Below are 23,045 nucleotides of genomic sequence, written 5' to 3' on the forward strand. Positions count from 1 at the left end.
CATTTTTTCTTTTTCCTTTGGCTCTGTTAAAAGAAAAAATTACAAAGAATTTAGTTTAAACATCTTAACTGGCTTTTAGTTCCAATTCTACAATTGGGCAACGCTTCATTCTGTAAAATGGAATGAATGTTCCAATGAGAAGAGGAAGTTGGTATTACAGACAGAAAAGGACCGAGGAAAGCAGAAACAAAAAGTGGATTAGTTGGTAGAAAGTTACTTTTCTTGTAAAGGTTAAAGAACACGGGACTTCTTCATGCCAGCTAAAACTGACCTGTTTGGGGATTTTTGTTTTGAGACAGGGTCTTACTCCAGCGGGCAGGCTGGAGTGCAGTAGTGGCACCATCTAAGCTTACTACAGCCTCAACCTCCCAGGCTCAAGCGATCCTCCCTCCTCAGCCTCCCAATTAGCTGGGACTACAGGCGCCAGCCACCACGCCCGGCTATTTTTTTTTTTTTTTTTTTTTTTTTTGGTAGAGGCAGGGTATTACTATGCCTAGGCTGGTCCGGAACTCCTGAGCTCAGGCGATCCGCCCACCTCGGCATCCAAAAGTGCTGGTATTACAGGTGTGAGCCACCGCGCCCAGCCTGTTTGGGGATCTGGCTAGCATCTGTTTCTCTCCTGATTTCTTGGAAGGTCAGATAAAGATCCTAGCTTTGGCGTGGTAGTGTGAAACTTCAGCATGAGTAACCCCATTTTGGTTTGGTCTGATGGGCCTAATGCAGGAGGTCAGTCTAAACTAACGGTCTCCCATATACATTTTATCTAATAGCTCTGTCACCCTTCCTGCACACCCGGGGAACTCGGGTGCGGCATTCTAACGCCTGCTCAGCATGATTCCACATTTTCTCCAGGCCCATAATCCAGAGGAGGTTGGGCCCGGAGCAGGCTTGCCTCGCCAAGCTCCGGCTCCGTGCGTGTGTGAAGCAGTGCCATGCCTGAGTGGGGAGGAGCCGCGGAAGAGAAAGCGTAAGGCGGCGTGGAAATGGGTGGGGCACGCTAGGACCCGCTCACATTTGTTCAGGGAGAGGCAGTCCCAAAAAGCCTCTCAGGCACACAACCCAGCACAGCAAGGCAGTCACACCAAGGTGGGAAAAGAGGGCAGAAGAGCGCGAGGGGCTGGAGGTGGCGCCCCTGTGTCCCACTCGTTCTCCCTGGGCTGGGAAAGAGAAGCGGTCCCTCAGAAGCGCAGGCTGCGCTAGCTTAGGATGGACGTGGGTAACGCTCAGCTGACTCCCCGCAGGCACCCTATGCAGGGCTTTGTTTCGGGGGGGAACCCGCACCAGCGCGTAAGGGGAGTAGGAGAGATCTACGTGACCCTGGTGCGCAGCCGCGCCCTATCGCCCCGGCCACGCGCCGACGCCCCGCCCCGTCCGTGACGCGTTCGCGCGGGGCCTCCGCCCCATCCCCCTCCCAGGCGGTCCCCAGCGCGCTGCCTCCGCCGTTCCCCGCCCCCTCGCCTCTGAGGCTGCCCGGATAGCTGCCTGATCCAAGGCCCAGCAGCTTCTGCCTTCCGGATCCCCACCGACGGACGGAGGCAGCCCACCTGCAGGACCGGGGCGCTGTCGGTCCACGTGGCCGCTCTGGAGCAGGTTGGAGTTGGCAGCGGGCTGCGCTGCAGGGACAGGCGCGGCGGACAGCCCCGGGGGCAGCGGCGGGGTCCTGTCTGGGAGAGGACAGGGTTGCGGCGGGCGGAACGGTGTCTCCTTCACTTCGCCCTCCAGCTGCTGGAGCTGCAGCCCGACCGCGAGCGTGCCAAGCGGCTTCAGCAGCTAGCGGAGCGGTGGCGGCGGCCCCCCTCAGGACACCACCAGGTACCGCCGCGCCCGCCTCACGCCGACCCAGGGGCCTAGGCCGCGGCGGCCAAGCCGGAGGCCCGCGCCGGACTCGGAGTCGGCCCTGGCTTCCTAAGATGGCCGCGCTGCCCCGCGGCCCCTCGCCCCTCTCTGCCCGGGATCTCCCTTTGGCCCTTTGACCCCAGCTTACCGCACTTCTTGTCCCTCCCGCAGATTCCCCTCTTCCCGCGGCCTCGCCATGGCGACCCACGGACAGACTTGCGCGCGTCGTAAGTAAAGCTGGGATCTCTGCGGGATGGGGCGGCGGAGAGTCGAAGCCTGTCGACCAGAAACCCAGTTTGTTTCCCCCTATCTTTCCAAGAACTTGGAAATTCGGCTGCTTTTGGTGGTCGCCCCACCGTCTGACCACCTCCTCTGCGGAGGAGGGGCTGGGCTGCTGGATTTCAAATGGGGAACAAGGCCCGGGGAGTTGGTCTGTGGCCGCATGGACTTTTCAGCCTTTGTACATGTCTTTGACGTATAGAAGTAAAAAGTTGTTAATTGGGGATTCTGCCTTTGGAGGATCGGATCAATCACTTTTCTAGAGGAAGTAGCAGTCCCTCTTGTGAGAGCGCAAGGTCATTACTTGTGCTCCTAAGGGCGTGGACGTGCTTTGTGGAATGAATGAGCTGGTGTAATGAGCTCAGATTGCCTGCCCTTAAGCAGCACAGCATTGGCCGAGGACTTGAGAGTCACATTAGTAAGTTTGAAGCGCTATTTGATATTTAGTTGATGTAGACATTTGAGTGAAACACACATGGCAGTATTTTTTCCAAGTTTCAATATTTAAATTCCCAGTATTAAATTCTCTTCCCACTCCAGGGTGTTGGTTTTCCCCTCAGCGAAGATATTAAAGGACGTATCAGGGTAAAGGGCCTAGTCTTAGGTTTCGGTTTTATCTAATTTAGTTAAATCAGCTCATCTCAGTGAATTTTGGCAGATACATAAATATCCATACACACAAATACTTGTTTGATTCTTTGTACTTGTCCAGTCCTAGGAAGTGAGGCTGTAGGTAATAGACTGTTTTTCCGTTTTGAAACGAATTCCCCAAGTTTGTATAATCATGGTTATCTGTTTTAGAAATAATTCGTTGGTGGTATCTCCTTTATGGGTCGTTATAGTTCTATTGTAGCTCCTGACCGCATAAAAAACATTCCAACAAATGGGATTGCTTGAATTTTAATATCAGCAGTGGGTCATGCTCTTGTTCTTGGATAGAAGGTGGGAGAATAGAGACATTAACACTGGAATGTTTTTTTTCTACCAGCAATGTGTATTCCTCCATCATATGCTGACCTTGGCAAAGCTGCCAGAGATATTTTCAACAAAGGATTTGGTAAGAACCTTATTTTTAAAACGTTTTAGATAAAGAGTGAAAATGTATGTTTGGGTTGCTTAGCGAAATCAGATCAATCATTGCAAATTGTAAATATCTTGCTGCTTTAAATTTAGAGTTACTTATTTTTTTGAGACAGGGTCTCCCTCTGTTGCCCAGGCTGGATGCAGTGGCATGATTATACCTCACTGCAGCCTGGACCTCCTGGGCTCAAGCGATCATCTTTCCTCAGCCTCCCACGTCCCAAGTAGCTGGGACTACAGGCACGCTCTGCCACACCTGGCTAATTTTTTTTATTTTTCGTAGAGGTGGGGTCTCACTGTGTTACCCAGTAAACACAGTGGCCTCTCAAAGCCTGGTTGGATTACGTTACAGACATGAGCCACTGTGCCCAGCCTTGTATTAATTCTTCTATTAGAAACTTAAGATACTTAGATTAAACTTATGTGAAAATAGTTCTTTTACAGTCTACATCCCCCTCCCCCAATTTCCCAAAATTTTTAAAAACTGTACTTAGAAGATTTGAGCCTTTAAGAAAAACGGCTCGTGCTTTAATTTTTTTTCAGTTATAGCTTAGGCCCTGGTTGACTAGAGTTACGATATATTACTGTTTTGCTTTTGTGGTGACTCCTAATACTTTATCTAGAGTTATGAGCTTTTTCAGGTGAATTTGAGTTTTCTTGAAAATTTTGTTCCATACCCTCCTCCCCTTTATTTAGACTGTTGGAAATACCCCATTGGCATAAATGTCCTAAATGTCTGTATTATGATAAGTTGGTTTTGTTTTTGTTTTTTTTTGAGACGGAATCTCGCTCTGTTGCCCAGGCTGGAGTACAGGGGCGTGATCTCGGCTCCCTGCAGCCTCTGCCTCCTGGGTTCCAGCAATTCTCCTGCCTCAGCCTCTCTGGTAACTGGGATTACAGGCACATGCCACCATGCCCAGCTTTTTTTTTGTATTTTTAGTAGAGACGAGGTTTCACCATGTTGGCCAGGCTGGTTTTGAACTCCTGATCTCAAGTGGTCTGCCTGCCTCGACTACCCGAAGTGCTAGGATTTCAGGCGTGGGCCACCGCACCTGGCCATATCATGATAAGTTATTAGCTATTCTGAAATTTCAGTTGAATGATTTTTTAATCTGATATTTAAGTTTAAGAATAGTTTGGGGGCTGGGCGTGGTGGCTCACACCTGTAATCCCAGCACTTTGGGAGGCCGAGGCGGGCAGATCACGAGGTCAGGAGATCGAGACCATCCTAGCTAACACGGTGAAACCCCATCTCTACTAAAAATACAAAAAATTAGCCAGGCGTGGTGGCACGCACCTGTAGTCCCAACTACTCGGGAGACTGAGGCAGGAGAATCGCTTGAACCCAGGAGGTGGAGGTTGCAGTGAGCTGAGATCGTGCCACTGCACTCCAGCCTGGGCAACAGAGTGAGACTCCGTCTCAAAATAAATAAATAAATAAATAAATAATTTGAAAGCATTCTTTTGTGTACCAACTACCAAAAACTAGACAAAGCAGCATAGGGATAATTCTGCCCTTTATAAGCCAGTTTACAAAAGACGAATTTGTAACAATTTCATTTAAATATTGTATATTAACACATTTTTATCCACCTCTGAATATGTGGAATCTTTTTGTTTTTTATGTATAGTCAACAATTGCTATGCATCTTTCATACAAAGGAATCATTTTGTTTCTTTTGCTGTCTATTTGTTGAAGGTTTTGGGTTGGTGAAACTGGATGTGAAAACAAAGTCTTGCAGTGGCGTGGTGAGTGTTACTGTTGAATAAGTTCTATTGAACCTTTATAATTTTTCAACTTGTAAAATGGTCATAACTGAAAGATGTCTACCTGTTTTGTCTTAAAGAAGAGGCAGAAGTTAACTTTGTTTTAAGAGATTTGCGTGTAACCTGATTTATTTTGGCCTTGAATGTGATTTCTGATTTTCATGTGGTCTTTCGTCATATTATGTATGCACAAGGAACTTAGGAAAGACCAGTCAGGTGGTACTCTTTACTCGTAAGATTACACATTTGAAGGCAGGGAACCCATTATTAGACTTTTTTGTAACCCTTTGTCAACAATGCTCGTCAGAGTTATGGGCATAAAAATATCAGGAACTCATTAATTTGAGTGTACTAATCATTTATATAATGTCCATTTTCTAGCAGTTCTCCCTGGAGAAGATTTCCACATGTATTTTATGAGTTTAGGGAGTCCTGATCTGAATTTTTTTTTTTTGAGACGGAGTCTCACTGTGTCACTTAGACTGGAGTGCAATGGTGTGATTGTGGCTCACTGCAACCTCCGCCTCCTGAGTTCAGGTGATTCTCTTGCCTCAGCCTCTCTAGTAGCTGGAATTACAGGTGCCTGCCACCACGCCTGACTGATTTTTGTATTTTTAGTAGAGCTGGGGTTTCACCATGTTGGCCAGGCTGGTCTCCAACTCCTGACCTCAGGTGATCCACCCACCTTGGCCTCCCAGAGTGCTGGGATTACAGGTGTGAGTCACCATGCCCAGCCAAGAATATTTTTAAAGAGGTTAATATTTTGGTATTTGGGTGTCTTGATAGTTCAATGAACTGTTTACAAAGGGGATAAACTAATATTTAACTTTTTTCGAGACAGGGTCTCACTCGGTTGCCCAGGCTGGAGTGCAGTGAGTGCAGTGGCACAATCTCAGCTCACTGCAGCCTCGACCTCTTGGGCTCAAGCAATCTTCCCACCTCAGCCTCCCAAGCATCTGGGAGTACAGGCCGTATCCATCATGCCTGAGTATTTTTTGTAGTTTTTCTAGAGATGACGTTTTGCCATGTTGCCCAGGCTAGTCTTGAACTCCTGAGCTCAAGTGATCCACTTGCCTTGGCCTCCCAAAGTGCTGGGATTACAGATGTGAGCCACCATGCCCAGCTAGTAAAATTTAACTTTGTGAAATTTTTTTTACTTAAAAAATTTTTGTTTTGAGATTATTTTAGGGGTGGGTGTGTGTGCACATTAGAATACTATAGGTTATTTTGATATATGTATGTATGTATATATATAGAGAGAGAGAGACTTTTTTTTTTTTTGAGACGGAGTCTTGCACTGTCACCCAGGCTGGAGTGCAGTGGCATGATCTCAGCTCACTGCAAGCTCCACCTCCCAGGTTCATGCCTTTCTCCTGCCTCAGCCTCATGAGTAGCTGAAACTACAGACACGGGCCACCACGCCCAGCTAATTTTTTTGTATTTTTAGTAGAGATGGGGTTTCACCATGTTAGCCAGGATGGTCTCAATCTCCTGACCTCATGATCTGCCCACCTCGGGCTCCCAAAGTGCTGGGATTACAGGCGTGAGCCACCGCGCCCGGCCTATATAGACATTTTTGATGTAGTGCATGTAACTGATATTTATTTAATCGTATTGTAGTTTTTTTGTTTTGTTTTTTTTTTTTTCCTCTGAGACGCAGTCTTGCTCTGTCGCCCAGGCTGGAGTGCAGTGGCATGATCTCAGCTCACTGCATCCTCCACCTCCCAGGTTCAAGTGATTCTCCGGCCTCAGCCTCCCAAGTAGCTGGGATTACAGGTGCTTGCCACCATGCCCCGCTAATTTTTGTATTTTTAGTAGAAACAGGGTTTTGCCATGTTGGCCAGTCTGGTCTTAAACTCCTGACCTCAAGTGATCCCAAAGTGTTGGGATTACAGGCGTGAGCCACAGCGCTAGCCCTGTAGTTTAAAAGCCTAGGCCTGTTGGATTTCTGGGGATTTACATTGATCATATCTGTCGCTTGGTTTTTTTGGTCTGAAAGGAAGCTTAGGTGTTTAGTTATGATTGGATGACTTATTTGGCCAAGTTAACAGGTTACAGAGCAGTGATTTTTAGTGTTTTTTAATGTTCCCATTGTTAGTCTATTGAGGCCCCTAGTGTATTTGTTGAAACACAAAAGGCCTTCTAAAAAAGATTCAGTCCTTGTGTTTAAAAAGCTTACTTTCTAGTTGGAGAGACAAAATAAACTGAGAGTACTGAGGTAATTAATATCAAATATTAGATCGTTGGATAATCAAATCTTTGTTGGAAAGGAATAGATTGTTGTGTATAGGGTTAGGGAAAGTTTTATGGAAGTAGGTTTAAGAGCATGAAGGATATGTAGGAGCTGGATTAGATATAGCATGTTTTTATTCACATTTAATACATGTAACTCAACAACCATGGTATTGATCCTATAGTATGTCTCTGGCCCCAGATAAGTCCCATTAATACCTGGCTCTGTTTTCTTACCTGAACAGCAAAGCTACTGAAGCCACCCCAGAATGTAGAAGCCAAAATTTCTGGTGGTAAAGGGTATGAGCTGTAATCTGGCCCAACTCTGGTCCCACAGGGTGGTGTTGGCTTTGTTTCTTGAGGCTTCCTTGGCATGTGTATATAGGCTGGCTCTTGATCTGTGGGCTGATGAATGGCCGTAGGTGGGGCCCCAAGAGTCATTAATGTCATTCAGGATTAAAAATAGCTACTCACACATTCCCCATTCAAACTGCTAGAAAAACCTGTTCCATATATATTGTTTTAGTAATGCTTTCCTTTTCTGTGGAGCATATGAAAACGTACAAACTTTCACAGTGTCAGTTCAATTTAATCATTCGGAGGTAGGCTTTGTAATTATAGTTGCAGAAACAGACCCAAAAAAGTTAAGTGAGGCTGGTCACAGTGGCTCATTCCTGTAATCCCAGCGCTTTGGGAGGCCAAGGCAGGAGGATCCCTTGAGCCCAGGAGTTCTGAGACTCACCTGGGCAACATAGTGAGACCCCGTCTCTACAAAAAAATTTAAAAATTAGCTGTGCTTGTTGGTGGGTACCTGAAGTCCCAGCTACTTGGGAGGCTGAGATAGGAGGATCGCTTGAGCCCAGGAGTTTGAGGCTGCAGTGAGCTATGACTGTGGCACTGTACTCCAACCTGGGCGACAGAGTGAGACCCTGTCTCCAAAAAAAACCGCAAAATGTTGTGTCCTGCTCAGTGTGATGCATTTAGTAAATGACACGAAGAACTGGACATCAGAACTCCTAATTTTTATATCTAGTGTTTCCTAACATGATCCAGTGCTTTTTTGTTTAATTGGAAATGGAGTCTCACTCACTCCATCACTCAAGCTAGAGTGCAGTGGTGCCATCTTGGCTCACTGCAACCTCAGGTTCTCAGGTTCAAGTGATTTTCCTGCCTCAGACTCCTGAGTAGCTGGGATTACAGGGATGCACCACCATGCCCGGCTAATTTTTGTATGTTTAGTAGAGACGGGGTTTCACCATGTTGGCTAGGCTGGTCTCAAACTCCCTACCTCAAGTGATCGGCCCGCCTTGGCCTCCTGAAGTGCTGGGATTACAGGTGTGACCCACCACACCCAGCCAGTCCAGTGCTTTTTAGTATAGGTATTGAGGGCTATGCTTTGACTTGAAATTCCTGTTAATGAAAGGGTCTAATTTAGGAGAGTGATGTAAGACCTAAGGATTTGTCTCTAACAGCAGAGCAATAGTTATACAAATGTTCTATTTTCTGAGAGAAGGTTGACTGGCCTTTCCTCCTATTGATACAATTTTTGATATTTCTCACTCTACAGATATCACAATTTCTGGCTGTAGTCTCTTTATTATTTTCACATCAGCTGTCTTCCTTAGGCTTGGCGTGGTGATGCTTGTGATCCCAGCTACTCAGGAGGCTGAGGTACGTGGATCACTTGAGCCTGGGAGGTTGAGGCTGCAGTCAGCTGTGATCACATCATTGTGTTCCAGCTTGGGTGACAGAGGCAAGATGCTGTCTCAAAAAAAAAAAAAAAATTCAGATAAGCCCTCCGTATTTTTTCTTTTTCAGTTCGTGTGCAACCAGGGATTGGCACATTATTATTTTTAGACAGGGTCTCACTGTGTCACCCATGCTGAGTGCAGTGGTGGGATTATGGCTCACTGCAGCCTGGACCTCCCAGGCTCAAGCAGTCCTCCCACCTCTGCCTCCTGAGTAGCTGGGACTACAGGCGCACACCACCACGCTGAGCTGGTTTCTTAATTTTTGTAGAGACATGGTCTTGCTATGTTGCCCAGGCTGGTATCTAAGTGCTGGGATCACAGGCATGAGCCACCACACTCAGTCCCCCATTGATTTTTGAATCCCAAATAAAATCACCTTAGCAAAACCTTCCTTAAAAGATGTACAGTTAGCTGGGGTGGTGGCTTACGTTTGTAATCCCAACACTTTGGGAGGCCGAGGTGGGTGGATCACCTGAGGTCAGGAGTTGGAGACCAGCCTGACCAACATGGTGAAACTCCATCTGTACTAAAAATACAAAAATCAGCTGGGTGTGGTGGCGGGCACCTGTAATCCCAGCTACTTGGAAGGCTGAGGCAGGAGAATCACTTGAACCTGGAAGGCGGAGGTTGCAGTATGCCGAGATCACGCCACTGCACTCCAGCCTGGCGATAGAGCGGGACTCTGTCTCAAAAAAAAAAAAAGGTGTACAGTTTGTTCACTTGAGAATTCACTACAGGTTAACTTGTGATTGATTGGAAGTGTCAGCTGTGTATGTAAAGTGGCAGTCAGTTGCTCAAAGGCTTATTTGTCACTCTTATATATGCTTAGAGAGTAGCACAGTGCAGAAGGATACGAGTGTTTAGGAAGCTAGAAAAAGGATTCATGAATTTACCAAATGTTTCAGGGGGTTTGTGTGTGTGTGCGTGTGTAAGGCAGTGATGAATTCTAGGCTTATGAGAATGTTCATGAAGTTATTGATTGTCTTGTTAGGAATTTTCAACGTCCGGTTCATCTAATACAGACACTGGTAAAGTTACTGGGACCTTGGAGACCAAATACAAGTGGTGTGAGTATGGTCTGACTTTCACAGAAAAGTGGAACACTGATAACACTCTGGGAACAGAAATCGCAATTGAAGACCAGGTAACATTTTGAAAATTTTAGTATTAATTTTATTAATTTATTTTTGTATTTCAAAAAAAGAAAACAAATTACTTTTCTTTCAAAATAGATTTGTCAAGGTTTGAAACTGACATTTGATACTACCTTCTCACCAAACACAGGGTAAGCACAGACATTTTTATCTGTATTACATTTAAAAGTATTTCTCTTTTGTATATTTAGAAAAGGTGTACATTTACTGTTTGATAGCTTATTAAGCTACCTTGTGGTGGTGAAATCTCTGTATCTGCTTTTATTTATTTATTTGAGATGGAGTCTTTGCTGTGTCACCCAGGCTGGAGTGCAGTGGCATCATCTTGGCTCACTGCAGTCTCAGCTTCCTGGGTTCAAGCGATTCTTCTGCCTCTGCCTCCCTGAGTAGCTGGGACTACAGGTGCGTGCCACCACGCCCAGCTAATTTTTGTATTTTTAGTAGAGGCGGGGTTTCGCCATGTTGGCCAGGCTGTCCTGGAACTCCTGACCTCAGGTGATCTGCCCACCTTGGCCTCCCAGAGTGGTGGGATTACAGGCATGAGCCACCACGCCCAGCCTTTTTTTTTTTTTCCATATTTTATTTTATTGTATTTATTTTATTTTATTTTATTTTCATTTGGGACAGAGTCTTACTCTGTCACACAGGCTGGAGTGCAGTGGCGCGATCTCGGCTCACTGCAACCTCTGCCTCCCGGGTTTAAGTGATTCTCCTGCCTCAGCCTCCTGAGTAGCTGGGATCACAGGCATGTGCCACCACGCCCACCTAATTTTTGTATTTTTGGTAGAGACAGGGTTTCACCGTGTTGATCAGGCTGGTCTTGAACTCCTGACCTCGTGATCTGCCCACCTCAGCCTCCCAAAGTGCTGGGATTACAGGTGTGAGCCACCGCTCGCAGCCTGTTTGTTTATTCTCTGTCACCCAGGCTGGAGTGCAATGGTGCGATCTTGGCTCACTGCAACCTCTGCCTCCTGGGTTGAAGCGATTCTCCTGCCTCAGCCTCCTGAGTAGCTGGGATTACAGGCATATGCCACCGTGCCTGGCTAAATTTTTTTGTATTTTTAGTAGAGACGGGATTTCACCATGCTGGCCAGGCTGATCTTAAACTCCTGACCTCAGGTGATCCGCCCGCCTCAGCCTCCCAAAGTGCTGAGATTACAGGCGGGAGCCACCATGCCTGGCCCATATCTGCTTTTAGAATACTATGGTTGCTATCATTGGCTTGCCTTCAAATATTTGCCTCTTTGTTGTTGCACTAACTTGGGCAACTAATGTGTTTCTAACAGGCTTTTGTGACTGATTGTTTGTTCTGCAAAGCAGTTTTCCTAGATGGCTGTCCAGTTGCTTCATGTGTCCTTGTCTTGTAGTTCATTGAGCTGACTTTTTTACTCCCTGTTATTGTATTGCTGATTTTTACTCCCTGGTCATACTGCAGTTTATTTAAGTCTGTTTTGTGCTCTCTTGTGCAGAAGTGTGTGTAAATTTTTCCCAATGACATCAGTTTGTTCTTTTTCCAGAAAGAAAAGTGGTAAAATCAAGTCTTCTTACAAGAGGGAGTGTATAAACCTTGGTTGTGATGTTGACTTTGATTTTGCTGGACCTGCAATCCATGGTTCAGCTGTCTTTGGTTATGAGGGCTGGCTTGCTGGCTACCAGATGACCTTTGACAGTGCCAAATCAAAGCTGACAAGGAATAACTTTGCAGTGGGCTACAGGACTGGGGACTTCCAGCTACACACTAATGTGTAAGTATTTCTTTCATAGGATACTGTGATGTGGGCCCTCAGAGGATGATTTTGATGTCTGTCATCTTATTGATCTGGGTGCACCCTAAAGGATTTCTCATAACATTTAAAAACAAAATCATTCTTGGTCATTTCTAGGGTGCCCCTTGAAAGTTTATAGTAGAAGACTGTTAGTCTGACCTTTGGTGCTGAGAGAGTAAATGTTCATTTTATATGGGGTTTAATGTGCTTTGTATTTTTACAAGAGGCATTATATATTGGCAGACTGCTACCAGTACATTCATTTTACTTAATTATTTTGATGTGTGAGATGCTGACTTGATAGGATTGCCTAAAATGTATGGTGTTTTGTGGTTGGGTTTTTTTTTCTTTTTCTTTTTTCTTTCTTTTTTTGTTTTGGTTCAGACAGAGTCTTGCTCTTTTGCGATCTCGGCTCACTCCAACATCCGCCTCCCGGGTTCAAACAATTCTCCTGCCTCAACCTCCCAAGTAGCTGGGACTACAGGCGTGTGCCACCATGCCTGGCTAATTTTTGTATTTTTGGTAGAGACGGGGTTTCACCATGCTGGCAAGGCTGGTCTGGAACTCCTGACCTCGTGATCTGCCAAAGTGCTGGGATTACAGGCGTGAGCCACTGTGCCCGGCTATTGTTGTTTTTTTGTTTGTTTGTTTTTAATTATTTTTGTAGAGATGGGGTCTTGCTATGTTGCCCAGGCTTGTCTCAAACTCCTGGCCTCAAGCGATCCTCCCGCCTCAGCCTTCCAAAGTGTTGGGATTATAGGCGTGAGCCACTGCATCCAGCCTGGTGTTTTTACCTAGCCCAAACTAGATAGATACATAGAAAGTACTTAAAATGTTTTTCTTTCCATTGTAAAAATTCATTGGTAAATAACAGAAGCACAAAGAAGAAAACCTACGTTTCTTACAATCATGCCAGCTAGGTATATAATCTTTGTTAATGTTGTGGTTCACCTTTTTATATGTGTGTGTATATATACTTATATATAAAATACGTAACCAAAAGGCTGTTTGAGAACCTCTTGCATGTTTAATACAGTGTGATAATTCCACTGAATGGATATTCTGTGGTTCATTTTACCAATCCCTGTATGGGTATGGGTTGGGGAAAAAAACCTGTTAAAACTTGCAAGTTTTCAGTGGAACACTAAAGACCCACTTGAGCTGTGGTTTTTTATTTAAATGTAATGCTACAAATCAGCCTGTGCCTTAGACATTATTACATTGTCTATTCTAGATCTACTAATTTAAAATATCTTATAGCAATGATGGGACAGAATTTGGAGGATCAATTTATCAGAAAGTTTGTGAAGATCTTGACACTTCAGTAAACCTTGCTTGGACATCAGGTACCAACTGCACTCGTTTTGGCATTGCAGCTAAATATCAGTTGGATCCCACTGCTTCCATTTCTGTGAGTACTTTTGTGGACTTAGAATGGGGGTTTTGGTTGTGGGAATGAGTCTTTGGGTATACTGAATTATGTTGAAAATTTGAACTGATTTCACACAGTCCCCAGTTTACAGATAGATTAGTTTTAGATTTTGAAATGCGCTTTTTTGATGGATACAGTGTTAGACGTTTTATTTCCAGGCCAGGCTGGTGGAGTTTGTTTAACCTCAAAAGCTGCCGAGTTAATGTTGATGATAACCTTGAGCCATAGGCCTGTCTAAGTCCAGGTATAGCTGGTGTTTGGTCCCTGAGTGGTTCTTACTGTGTCAGAAATAATAGTGCTTTTTTAAGGCTCTCTGTTGTCGAGGCTGGACTGCAGTGGCACAATCACGACTCCCGGCACCTTGACATCCTGGGTTCAACCTCAGCCTCCTACTATTCCCAACTAATTTTTTGATGTTTTTTTGTAGAGATGGGATCTCCATATGTTGCCCATCCTAGGCTCAAGCTATCATCCTGTCTCAGCCTCCCAAAGGAGGCTGTTGGGATTATAGGCATGAGCCACTGCACCTGGCTAGTATTTTAATCATCACTTTGTCTTTTTTTTTTTTTTTTCTTTTTTGAGATGGAGTCTCTGTCGCCCGGGCTGGGGTGCAGTAGTGCGATCTTGGCTCACTGCAACCTCCGCCTCCTGGGTTCAAGCAGCTCTTCTGCCTCAGCCTCCTGAGTAGCTGAGATTACAGGTGCCCGCCACCACACCTGGCTAATTTTTTTGTATTTTTTAGTAAAGATGGGATTTGTTGGCCAGACTGGTCTCAAACTCCTGACCCCAAGTGATCCACCCGCCTCAGCCTCCCAAAGTGCTGGGATTACAGGCATGAGACACCACAGCTGGCCGCCTTCTCCATTTCTAATTGCACTACAGCAATAAAAACCTCAAGATTCATACAGTACACTATTCTGTTACTTACATTGATGTTCTTGGATGTCTGTGGCATTTTAACAGATTTAATGTAAGTGGAAGAAGCTTCTCTCAGCTACTAGGAGTTCATAGTTAAAATGGGAAGGCAGCTTGGGACCCCTGTGTCATTTAATGACTCCTGGGAATTAGTTTGGAAATGTACCTAGCCTTTCCCACTTCAGTAATGTTAGCTGCCACTCCAATTCAGCAGTACCCAGAAGCATTGCTTAATGCTCCTTGTGATATTAGGAAGTATATATTTGGTTCTCCTTCCCTCTCCTGGCATAGAACTCCTAAAAAATCCTTGGAATCCCGAAAGTATTAAGTATCTTTTTGTATGCTAATGAGTTTTGACTGGTGGCTGGCCACCTTTAGGTAGCTTCGGGCTGGAGGCTAGTCAGTGGAGAGACCAAGGTGTGATTAGAGGGGGTGGGGAGAGGGGCTGTAGGTTTAATTGTTCACCAATGGCTAGTGGTTTAATCAGTCATGCCTGTATAATGAAGCCTCATGAAAACCCACAAGGACAGAGGTCAGTGAGCTAGGTAGCTGAGGTTACTGGAAGGTGGCATGTCTGGAGAGGGCATTGAAGCTGTGTCCCTTCCTATGTTTTGCACTGTACATCTCTTCATCTGTATCCTTTGTAATATCCTTTATTAAAACTGGTAAATGTAAATAAAGTGTTTCTTGAGTTCTGTGACCTGCTCTAGGAGATTAATTGAACCCAAGAAGGGGCTTGTGGGAACCTCTGTTTAGAGGTGCCAGGTCAGAAGCAGAGTTAAAACAACCTGGGGCTTGCAGTTGGCATCTGAAGTGGGAGGAGGGCAGTCTTGTGGGACTAAGCCCTTAACCTGTGGCATCTGATGTCTCCAGGTAGAATTAGAGGACATTTAGCCAGTGTCTGCTGCAGAAATTATTGCTTGCTTGGTGTGTGAGGAAAGCCCTCACACATGTGGTCACAGAAGCATTCTGTGTTGTGAGAGAATAGTAGGAGAAACTGAGTTGGTTTTTTTCTGTATCCTCAGAATTGATGTCAGGATTGGGATTTGCTAGAGTGGCTCTAGCTAGAGTGGCTCATCGAAGCATGGTTTAGGAAGAAAAAGGATAAATGGATGGGAAATGAGGAACTTTTGACTCCTGGGTGGTCAGATGGTCACCCCTGCTATGGAGCCACAACTGTGCTGTGCTCAGGTACTTAAAAATTACCAGTGGAATTCAAAGATAGATCCAACTCCAAGGGAGTTGGTTCACTGGGTGCATAAGGAAACGCAAACAATAAGAAACAAACAAAATATACAATCCCTTGATTATTGTTATTTGTGATAGCTAAAATCAAAGTGAAAGAGTGCTGGATTGTACCTTGATGCTAGACCAAGCTCAGGTTTCATTTGGTTTAAGCCTTGGCCACCAGCCTCAAAGCCACCTTGCAAGGGTAAAAAGTACCCCTAAGACCTGTATTTGCTGTATTTTGCCCAGTTTGGAGAAATTTAAAAAGTCAGAAGTTAGAGATTACATTGAGAAATGTGATCTGAAATTGCCTGGGGCAGTAGTCAGGCTTATTAATCAAGATAAAGGCTGACAAATGGGGAAGGGTAGATTTCTGTTGGAAAGGCAAAGCAAATATCTCTAATTCTTACTGATCTGTAACGAAACTGATTTTTTTTGTACCATGCTCATACTGCCATATGGTAATATTGTTGGCAGATTAAACTCCCTTGTGTAAATAAGTCTTATAATACTGATTGATGATTATATGTATTGTGAAATTGAGTTGAAGCCTCCTCAGGATATAATACCTATGGAAAGTGACTGGCCTGAGGAGGAACTGGATCTCACTATCAGCTGATTTCCATCCTGAATAGTTCTGCACAAGGTACAAATAACAGTAGATCAAGGGAAAAGAAAGCTGGTACAAGATGATAAAGATGTTTCTAATGGCTTCTGTCAACCTAAAGGAAGAAACTAAGGCACAAAATACAATTTTAAAGAATTTATTTGCACCATAATGAGGACAGCTGCCCAGCAGACTCAGATCCAAGTGGATTTGAGCTCCATTTGGCCCTTGTTACAAACAGGTTTTTAAAGGCCAAAAATTCGGGACAGGATGTGGGCTGATACAAAGTTGTTTGGCAGGAATTCTCTTTGGTTTACAGAAATAACATTGATTAGTGATTGGCTATACATTGTTCTTTGTATCACAGATTCCAGGAACATGAAGATAATGGGTGAGGGTCACATTGTGCAGTAACACTTTAGATATTTGCCAGCGAGCCTGGAAACTACAAGGAAGGAAAAAAAGAACAAAGTGTTTTTAAACAATTTCCCCTAGGCATGGGGGTGTGTCCTGTGACTAAAGTCTCATTCTCATGTCTCTCTGGGCCTGATAAACTTTGCATACCTCACATTCCTCATACTGCTGAGCTATTTTTTTTTCTCTTCATAGGACCGAGTAGGTTTTTTTTGTTTTGTTTTGTTTTGTTTTGAGACGGAGTCATCCAGGCTGGAGTGCAGTGGCGTGATCTCGGCTCACTGCAACCTCCACCTCCTGGGTTCAAGCCATTCTTGTGCCTCAGTCTCCTGAGTAGCTGGGATTATAGGTGCCCACTACCACACTCGGCTAATTTTTGTATTTTTAGTAGAGATGAGGTTTCGCCGTGTTGGCCAGGCTGGTCTCAAACTCCTGACCTCTGGTAATCCGCCCGCCTCAGCCTCCCAAAGTGCTGAGATTACAGGTGTGAGCCACTGCGCCCATCCTAGTTGCTTCTTTAAACCTATCCCTATCCCACAGTAGCTTCTCCAGATGATAGGCATATTTGTGTTTGTACTCTTGTAGATATGTCTGTTATATAAATGCAACAAGTGTAAACATCCTTGACAGATATATGGACCTTTTTGCTGTAAGGGATCCCTGTTTGAAACCAGGGGGTGGCCTATGATACTATGGTGTATATATTTTGGTTTTTGTCAAGTTCCTGGCTCACAGCTTCTATAACCCTTGCAATTTCCCAAGTGACTAGAGCCGTAAGAGTGTATTTTGTTGAGATATTTGGCCATTTGTCCTCGGTTCCTGAAACAGCTCCAGAGCATAAAAGTGAAAGACAGTCTTTTGTGGGTTTTTTTTTTTTTTTTTTTTTTTAATGAAATCTCACTGTCATCCAGGCTGGATGGAGTACAGTGGCACCATCTCTGCTCACTGCAACCTCAACCTCCGCCTCTCGGGTTCAAGCAGTTCTCGTGCCTCAGCCTACTTAGTAGCTGGGTTTGGAGGTGCCTGCCACCAAGCCCGACTAATTTTTGTATTTTTAGTAGAAATGAGGTTTCACCGTGTTGGCCAGGTGGGTCTCCAACCCCTGACCTCAGGTGATCCACTTGCCTTGGCTCCCAAAGTGCCGGGGTAACAGGAACGAGCCACTGCGCCCTGGGCTATGTTGTTATTTTTAACAGGCCTCTTTCAACCACATCTGAACTTATGTTAATGAGGTGATTTTTGGATAGTCCCTAGATGGCCACATGGTAGGGGGTGCTGGTTGCTAGGGAACAAACCTTCTGCCTTGGGGAGGGCATAGTAGCTAAAGGTTGAGCCAGTGGCCAGTGATTTAATTAATCGTGCCTTTGTAATGAAGTCTCCTTTGTAATGAAGTCTCTGTAAAAACCCAAAGGACTGAGTCCAGGGGGCCTTCAGGAAGGTAAACAATAATACATTCATGTCATGGGAGGGTGGGGCACCCCAGCTCCACAGGGATGGAAGCTCCTGTGCTTGGGACCCTTCAAGACCTCACCTATAAAGGAAAAGATATATAAGTATCTTTTCATCTGGCTGTTCATTTATATCCTTTAAAATATCCTATATAACTGGTAAATGTGTTAGTCCCTGAGTTCTGTGTGCCACCCTAGGAAATTACTTGAACCCCAGGGGGTTGTGGGAACCCCAGTTTATAACCAGTCTGTAAGAAGCAGAGGCAAAAGAACCTGGAGCTTTCAGTTAGCATTGAAAATGAGGGCGGGGCAGTTTTATGAAACTGAGCCCTGAACCTGTGTGATCCGATGCTCTCTCTCCAGGTAGATAGTATCAGAATTGAATTAGAGAACATCTAGCTGGAGTCTGCTGCAGAATCGTTTGCTTGATGTGTGGGAAATTCTCCCTAGGCCTTATGAGAGTATAGAGGGAGAAACTGAGTTTATTTTTTCTACTCCTTATCACAGTTTCATGGTTTAACTCTTACTGTTAAATAATAGGAATTTTTTTTTTTTTTTTTTTTTGGAGACAGAGTCTCACTTTGTTACCCTGGCTGGAGTGCAGTGGTGCGATCTCTGCTCTGCTCACTGCAACCTCTGCCACCCGGATTCAAGTGATTCTCCTGCCTTAGCACCCCGAGTAGCTGGGATTACAGGCGCCTGCCACCGTGCCTGGCTAATTTTTGTAGTTTTAGTAGAGACGGGGTTTCACCATCTTGGCCAGGCTGGTCTTGAACTCCTGACCTTGTGATCCTCCCAAAGTGCTGGGATTACAGGCATGAGCCACCCAGCCCGGCCAATAATGGGAATTTCTTTCTTTCTTTCTTTTTTTTTTTTTTGAGGCGGAGTCTCGCTCAGTAGCCCAGGCTGGAGTGCAGTGGCAAGATCTCCACTCACTGCAACCTCCGCCTCCCGGGTTCACGCCTTTCTCCTGCCTTAGCCTCCCGAGTAGCTGGGACTATAGGTGCCCACCACCACGCCCGGCTAATTTTTTGTATTTTTAGTAGAGACGGGGTTTCACCGTGTTAGCCAGGATGGTCTCGATTTCCTGACCTTGTGGTCCGCCTGCCTCGGCCTCCCAAAGTGCTGGGATTACAGGCGTGAGCCACTGCGCCTGGCCAATAATAGGAATGTCTATCCAGCTGTCTGAGGCTCTTATTTGTAGGGTACAAGATGGTCATTAGTGAGGTATTTTTCTTTCTTTTTTTTTTTTTGAGCTTTGTTGCCTAGGCTGTAGTTCACTGGTGCAATCACAGCTCACTGTGCCCTCAGCCACCTGGGCTTGAGATCCTTCCACTCACCCCCCACTTCCCTGGTAGTTGGGTAGGTGTGCACCATCATACCAAGCTAGGAAAATTTTGTACAGACAGACAGGGGTCTCACCGTGTTGCCCAGGCTGTTGAATTCCTGGGCTCAAGTGGTCCTCCCGCCTTGGCCTCCCAAAGTGCAGGGATTACTGGTGTCAGCCACTGCGCCAGGCCTGTTTTTTTCTTTAGATGGTCATTGGTAGCTCATGAATATTTGGCTGTAGTGCCAAGTGAATACAGGTGTTTTGGATGTGGTTTGTGTCTGTATAGTTACATCATTTCTTTCTCTGGATTGGGCTCTTTGGATGTTACACATTATAAGAGTATAGACATCGAATCATTTGGAGATCTGTTTTGGTCACATAGTCTGTTTGTTACCTTTATATTGTAGCCCTCAGAATGCTGAAAGCAAAGCAAAGTTGCATGTCTAGGCAACCTAGGCCCTGGAAATGAAGGCAGGTGTTCCTGGCCTCTGGTGTGTCTTCATAATGTTAGGGGTGGTAGAGAATGGAGCTAGAAAGAATCTACTCTTTACTATGTCTTACTCTTCAGGGTTCATTCCAGCCCTTGAAGTCGGTAACTAAGTCCTAAAATGTTGGGATTGTGCAAGGAAGGCAGGGGCCTGGATTGGTACATGATACCTCACTGGGACCTCCTCCCAAACGCAGTGGTTACATACAGCCAGAACTCAGCAGCACCGGCATTTATGAGAGGTGTAAGAATGTGAGGATAAAGGATTGTTTGATCTGATTCTTCAGAGGAATTACTTGTCGTTTGGAGATTTTTTTTTTTTTTTTAAACATTCATGGTTTTGATTCTTTAGGAAGAGTCCTGGAAGTAGTAATGTGTGTAACTAAGTCATGAATTTAAACTTTATACCCTGTGCTTTAAGGCTGCTGTGTGTCACCTCTAGTGAGCCTGACTTGTACCACATTTTGGTCTGGTTTGTTGTGCTAGACTAGAATTAACAAAGATGATTTTTATGAGAGTGCTTAGGCTTTTGTGCTGTATGGACAGTTTGGGGTCTTTGGATACATTCCAGTGGCTATCAAGAGTATTGTGTCCTACTGAGAATTTGATTTTTGAGTTGAATGGATACGAATTAAATAGTACCTGGTTTGTTTGGCTTAATACATAATATTGAATTTTATTGTCTCACGTGAATAAAACTGAACACTTCATGATTACATGATGGGGAAACATGTAGGGGCTTTGTCTCTATTGAAATATTTTTCTTACAGTTGTTTTTGTATTTTATTTTAGGCAAAAGTCAACAACTCTAGCTTAATTGGAGTAGGCTATACTCAGACTCTGAGGCCTGGTAAGTATTCTTGATAAAGTAGGATTGTTTTGATAGTATTAAAAAATTTAGTTTTCATTCTTCAGCTTACTTTTCAGACCTTTCAAGCACACAGAAGAGTTGAAAGAAGAGTACAATAAATACGTGTTTACCTTTTACCACAATTTTTTATTTCTTTTTCTTTGCTTTTTTTTTTTTTGCTGGGCCATTTGGTCATGACACTTCTCTTCAGAATAAGGCCCGTCTCTTCTTTTCTGCATAACTATAATACTATCACACCTAAGAAAGTTAGTGATTCCTTATTATTTAATACCCACTTCCTGTCAGTTTCCTCGCTTGTATCTGAAATGTTTTGTAGTAATTTTTATTTTGTTGATCAAAGTTCACTCATTGCTTTGGTTCTGCCTATAGTCTTGTTGACTTTATATAATATTTTGAAGCGTGCTGTGTCTAGAACAGCGCTTCTCCAACTTCAGAGTGCACATGACTCATCTTGGAATCTGCTTAAAGTACTGGAGACTTCCCCCTTCAGATAGGGATTTTCCTCCCCAAAGTTTATTTTGGTGATTTTGAAACCTAAAGAAAAGTTGGAAGAATGGTACAATGAACATCATATGTCCTTACCTTGCATTGACCAATTATTAACAATTTATTAACAATTATTAACATTTACTACATTTATTTTATGTCTGAAACTTCACATACTTTTAAAAAAATGTATGTTTTGCAGACATACAGACATGGCAGCCCCTAGCATGTGTATCCTAAGAGTAAGACATTTTTCTTTATAAGCACAATACCATTGTCGCATCTAAGAAAACTAACATTAATGTAATACCAAATACATATTCAGATTTACCCCCGTTCCCAAATGTGTCTTTATTGTAGGTTTTCCTTTCTAGGATCGAATTATGATTATGTCTTTAGTCTCTTTTCATCGGGATAGTATACTCAACATTATAGTATATTCTAGAACACTTTGAAGTTGTTATTAAAACATTTCTCTGTGACTTGGTGCCTTAGCTAGAATGGTAACCCAGTTCTTCTGGTGTCTCAGATACTTCCAAGCGCCCTCTGGTGGCCAGCACTAGTAGGTCAGCTGACAGGCTGAGGAAGTGACAGGCAGGCTCTGGGGATGACTGTGAAAGAAGGCCCAGACTGAGTGACGTGCCAGGTACATCACGGTTTTTTGTTTTTGTGTTTTTTTGTCTTAATAGGTGTGAAGCTTACACTCTCTGCTCTGGTAGATGGGAAGAGCATTAATGCTGGAGGCCACAAGGTTGGGCTCGCCCTGGAGTTGGAGGCTTAATCCAGCTGAAAGAAACCTTTGGGAATGGATATCAGAAGATTTGGCCTTAATATATTTCCATTGTGACCAGCAGCAGGCTTTTTTCCCCCAAGAAGATGATCAAAACAAAGGATGATCTCAACAAGAGCTGTATTTTAAGTATTTAGACAGTTCTTTGTTAGCTGGTTTCTAGTTGGTTATCTAGTTACCAATGCTGCAGTCCTGCAGTCACCTATACATTATTTAAATGTATTTAACTGTTAAATGCGCTACCCACCAATAATGAAATAGACCTTTATGAAAACTGTGCAATTGTGTGCATGTTTGTTTTTATGTTCCTTTAGAAAACATTGACTGTTACCATTGAATGAGATGGATCAGTGGATATTAAGATGAGGTTACAAATTTTGTTAAGTTCAGCCATTATTACTTTTGGTATCCCAGAACATGACAAATTATGAATAAAACAAGTATACATAATTAATGGCTCCAAGTATTTGCGGAGTTCCACGTTTGCCAGCTAGGATCAAATCCCCGTGGTAGCTAGCCAATACTTGATTTTTCCAGTGAGTATTTTGCTCTGTACCTAAATCTGTGCCACAGAATCTTCTGTGTCCCTAGATTCCACGAGCTTTTTAAGACTACAATAAGAGGATACATGCTTTTACACTTTTACATGCACAGTTTGTAAGTCTGTGCAGAATTGCCCTGCATCATTGAAAGGAAAAAGAGAAGGTGCTGAAAAGTTACACAAACACACCATACCCCTGTGAGCTACTGCTAGGAACATAAAGTAGGCCCTGGTTTGGTGAGATGGTGTTAAGCATACAGAAGAGGAGTAAGGTGTAGACAGTGAGGGTAACCTGAGGGACTGTGAGAGGTCATTACTCATTTCCTTCTAGGCAGACACACTGAAAGGTGGGTATAGGTAGGAGACCAGAGACAACCCCTTTAGGCTGCGTGGCATTGGCCTTCATCTGGGCATGAATGAGACATTAATAGGTGGTTCTGGCTGGAAAAGTAGGTAAGAGTACGTTTTCTGATGGGAGAAGATAATTGGATATGATTAAAGGTTGGAGAAGATTTGTTCAACAAATCTGTAATAGACCTGAAGAATGGTAGAACCTGAGTGATAAGAAATGGGTAAGAAAATGGAAGGACTTATCACCCAAGAAATGATACATGCTACAAACTTCCAGGTTG

At 44.2% G+C, this 23,045-nt stretch overlaps 1 protein-coding gene across 8 annotated transcripts, besides 8 other annotated features; it reads left to right on the top strand.

The window, feature by feature from the left end:
* Positions 993-1,574: an enhancer, noted in NCBI's record as "NANOG-H3K27ac-H3K4me1 hESC enhancer chr10:76969877-76970458 (GRCh37/hg19 assembly coordinates)". NCBI's record gives its function as "activates a minimal SCP1, AML or CMV promoter by ChIP-STARR-seq in primed H9 embryonic stem cells {active_cell/tissue: H9 hESC(primed)}" and the evidence as "EXISTENCE:reporter gene assay evidence [ECO:0000049][PMID:30033119]".
* Positions 993-1,599: a biological region, named in NCBI's record as "Sharpr-MPRA regulatory region 7934".
* On the top strand, positions 1,044-22,322 carry VDAC2 (voltage dependent anion channel 2). Of its 8 annotated transcripts, none has more exons than NM_001184783.3 (12): positions 1,044-1,086; positions 1,416-1,812; positions 2,008-2,063; positions 2,356-2,533; positions 3,104-3,172; positions 4,895-4,944; positions 9,937-10,089; positions 10,178-10,230; positions 11,617-11,844; positions 13,126-13,276; positions 20,518-20,575; positions 21,772-22,322. In NM_001184783.3, exons 4-12 carry the CDS (start codon positions 2,458-2,460, stop codon positions 21,861-21,863), a joined length of 930 nt encoding a protein of 309 aa, NP_001171712.1. In that variant the 5' UTR covers positions 1,044-1,086; positions 1,416-1,812; positions 2,008-2,063; positions 2,356-2,457; the 3' UTR covers positions 21,864-22,322. The 8 variants fall into 8 exon arrangements, with proteins under 8 accessions (NP_001171712.1, NP_001311016.1, NP_001311019.1 ...); NM_001324087.2 differs by lacking the exon at positions 2,356-2,533 and adding an exon at positions 8,762-8,865; NM_001324090.2 differs by lacking the exon at positions 2,356-2,533 and adding an exon at positions 8,820-8,865.
* Positions 1,244-1,553: a silencer, noted in NCBI's record as "silent region_2507". NCBI's record gives its function as "represses an Ori minimal core promoter by ATAC-STARR-seq in GM12878 lymphoblastoid cells {active_cell/tissue: GM12878}" and the evidence as "EXISTENCE:reporter gene assay evidence [ECO:0000049][PMID:35858748]".
* Positions 1,305-1,599: an enhancer, noted in NCBI's record as "tiled region #7934; HepG2 Activating DNase unmatched - State 1:Tss, and K562 Activating DNase unmatched - State 1:Tss". NCBI's record gives its function as "activates a minimal TATA promoter and a strong SV40 promoter by Sharpr-MPRA in HepG2 and K562 cells {active_cell/tissue: HepG2 | K562}" and the evidence as "EXISTENCE:reporter gene assay evidence [ECO:0000049][PMID:27701403]".
* Positions 1,574-1,943: a silencer, noted in NCBI's record as "silent region_2508". NCBI's record gives its function as "represses an Ori minimal core promoter by ATAC-STARR-seq in GM12878 lymphoblastoid cells {active_cell/tissue: GM12878}" and the evidence as "EXISTENCE:reporter gene assay evidence [ECO:0000049][PMID:35858748]".
* Positions 13,325-14,080: an enhancer, noted in NCBI's record as "H3K27ac-H3K4me1 hESC enhancer chr10:76982209-76982964 (GRCh37/hg19 assembly coordinates)". NCBI's record gives its function as "activates a minimal SCP1, AML or CMV promoter by ChIP-STARR-seq in naive H9 embryonic stem cells {active_cell/tissue: H9 hESC(naive)}" and the evidence as "EXISTENCE:reporter gene assay evidence [ECO:0000049][PMID:30033119]".
* Positions 14,835-15,590: an enhancer, noted in NCBI's record as "NANOG-H3K27ac hESC enhancer chr10:76983719-76984474 (GRCh37/hg19 assembly coordinates)". NCBI's record gives its function as "activates a minimal SCP1, AML or CMV promoter by ChIP-STARR-seq in naive H9 embryonic stem cells {active_cell/tissue: H9 hESC(naive)}" and the evidence as "EXISTENCE:reporter gene assay evidence [ECO:0000049][PMID:30033119]".
* Positions 17,101-17,854: an enhancer, noted in NCBI's record as "NANOG-H3K27ac hESC enhancer chr10:76985985-76986738 (GRCh37/hg19 assembly coordinates)". NCBI's record gives its function as "activates a minimal SCP1, AML or CMV promoter by ChIP-STARR-seq in primed H9 embryonic stem cells {active_cell/tissue: H9 hESC(primed)}" and the evidence as "EXISTENCE:reporter gene assay evidence [ECO:0000049][PMID:30033119]".
* Positions 22,323-23,045: the final 723 nt, after the last annotated feature.

The sequence above is a fragment of the Homo sapiens genome, chromosome 10 (genome assembly GCF_000001405.40).
Source record: "Homo sapiens chromosome 10, GRCh38.p14 Primary Assembly".
Taxonomy (NCBI): Eukaryota; Metazoa; Chordata; class Mammalia; order Primates; family Hominidae; genus Homo; species Homo sapiens.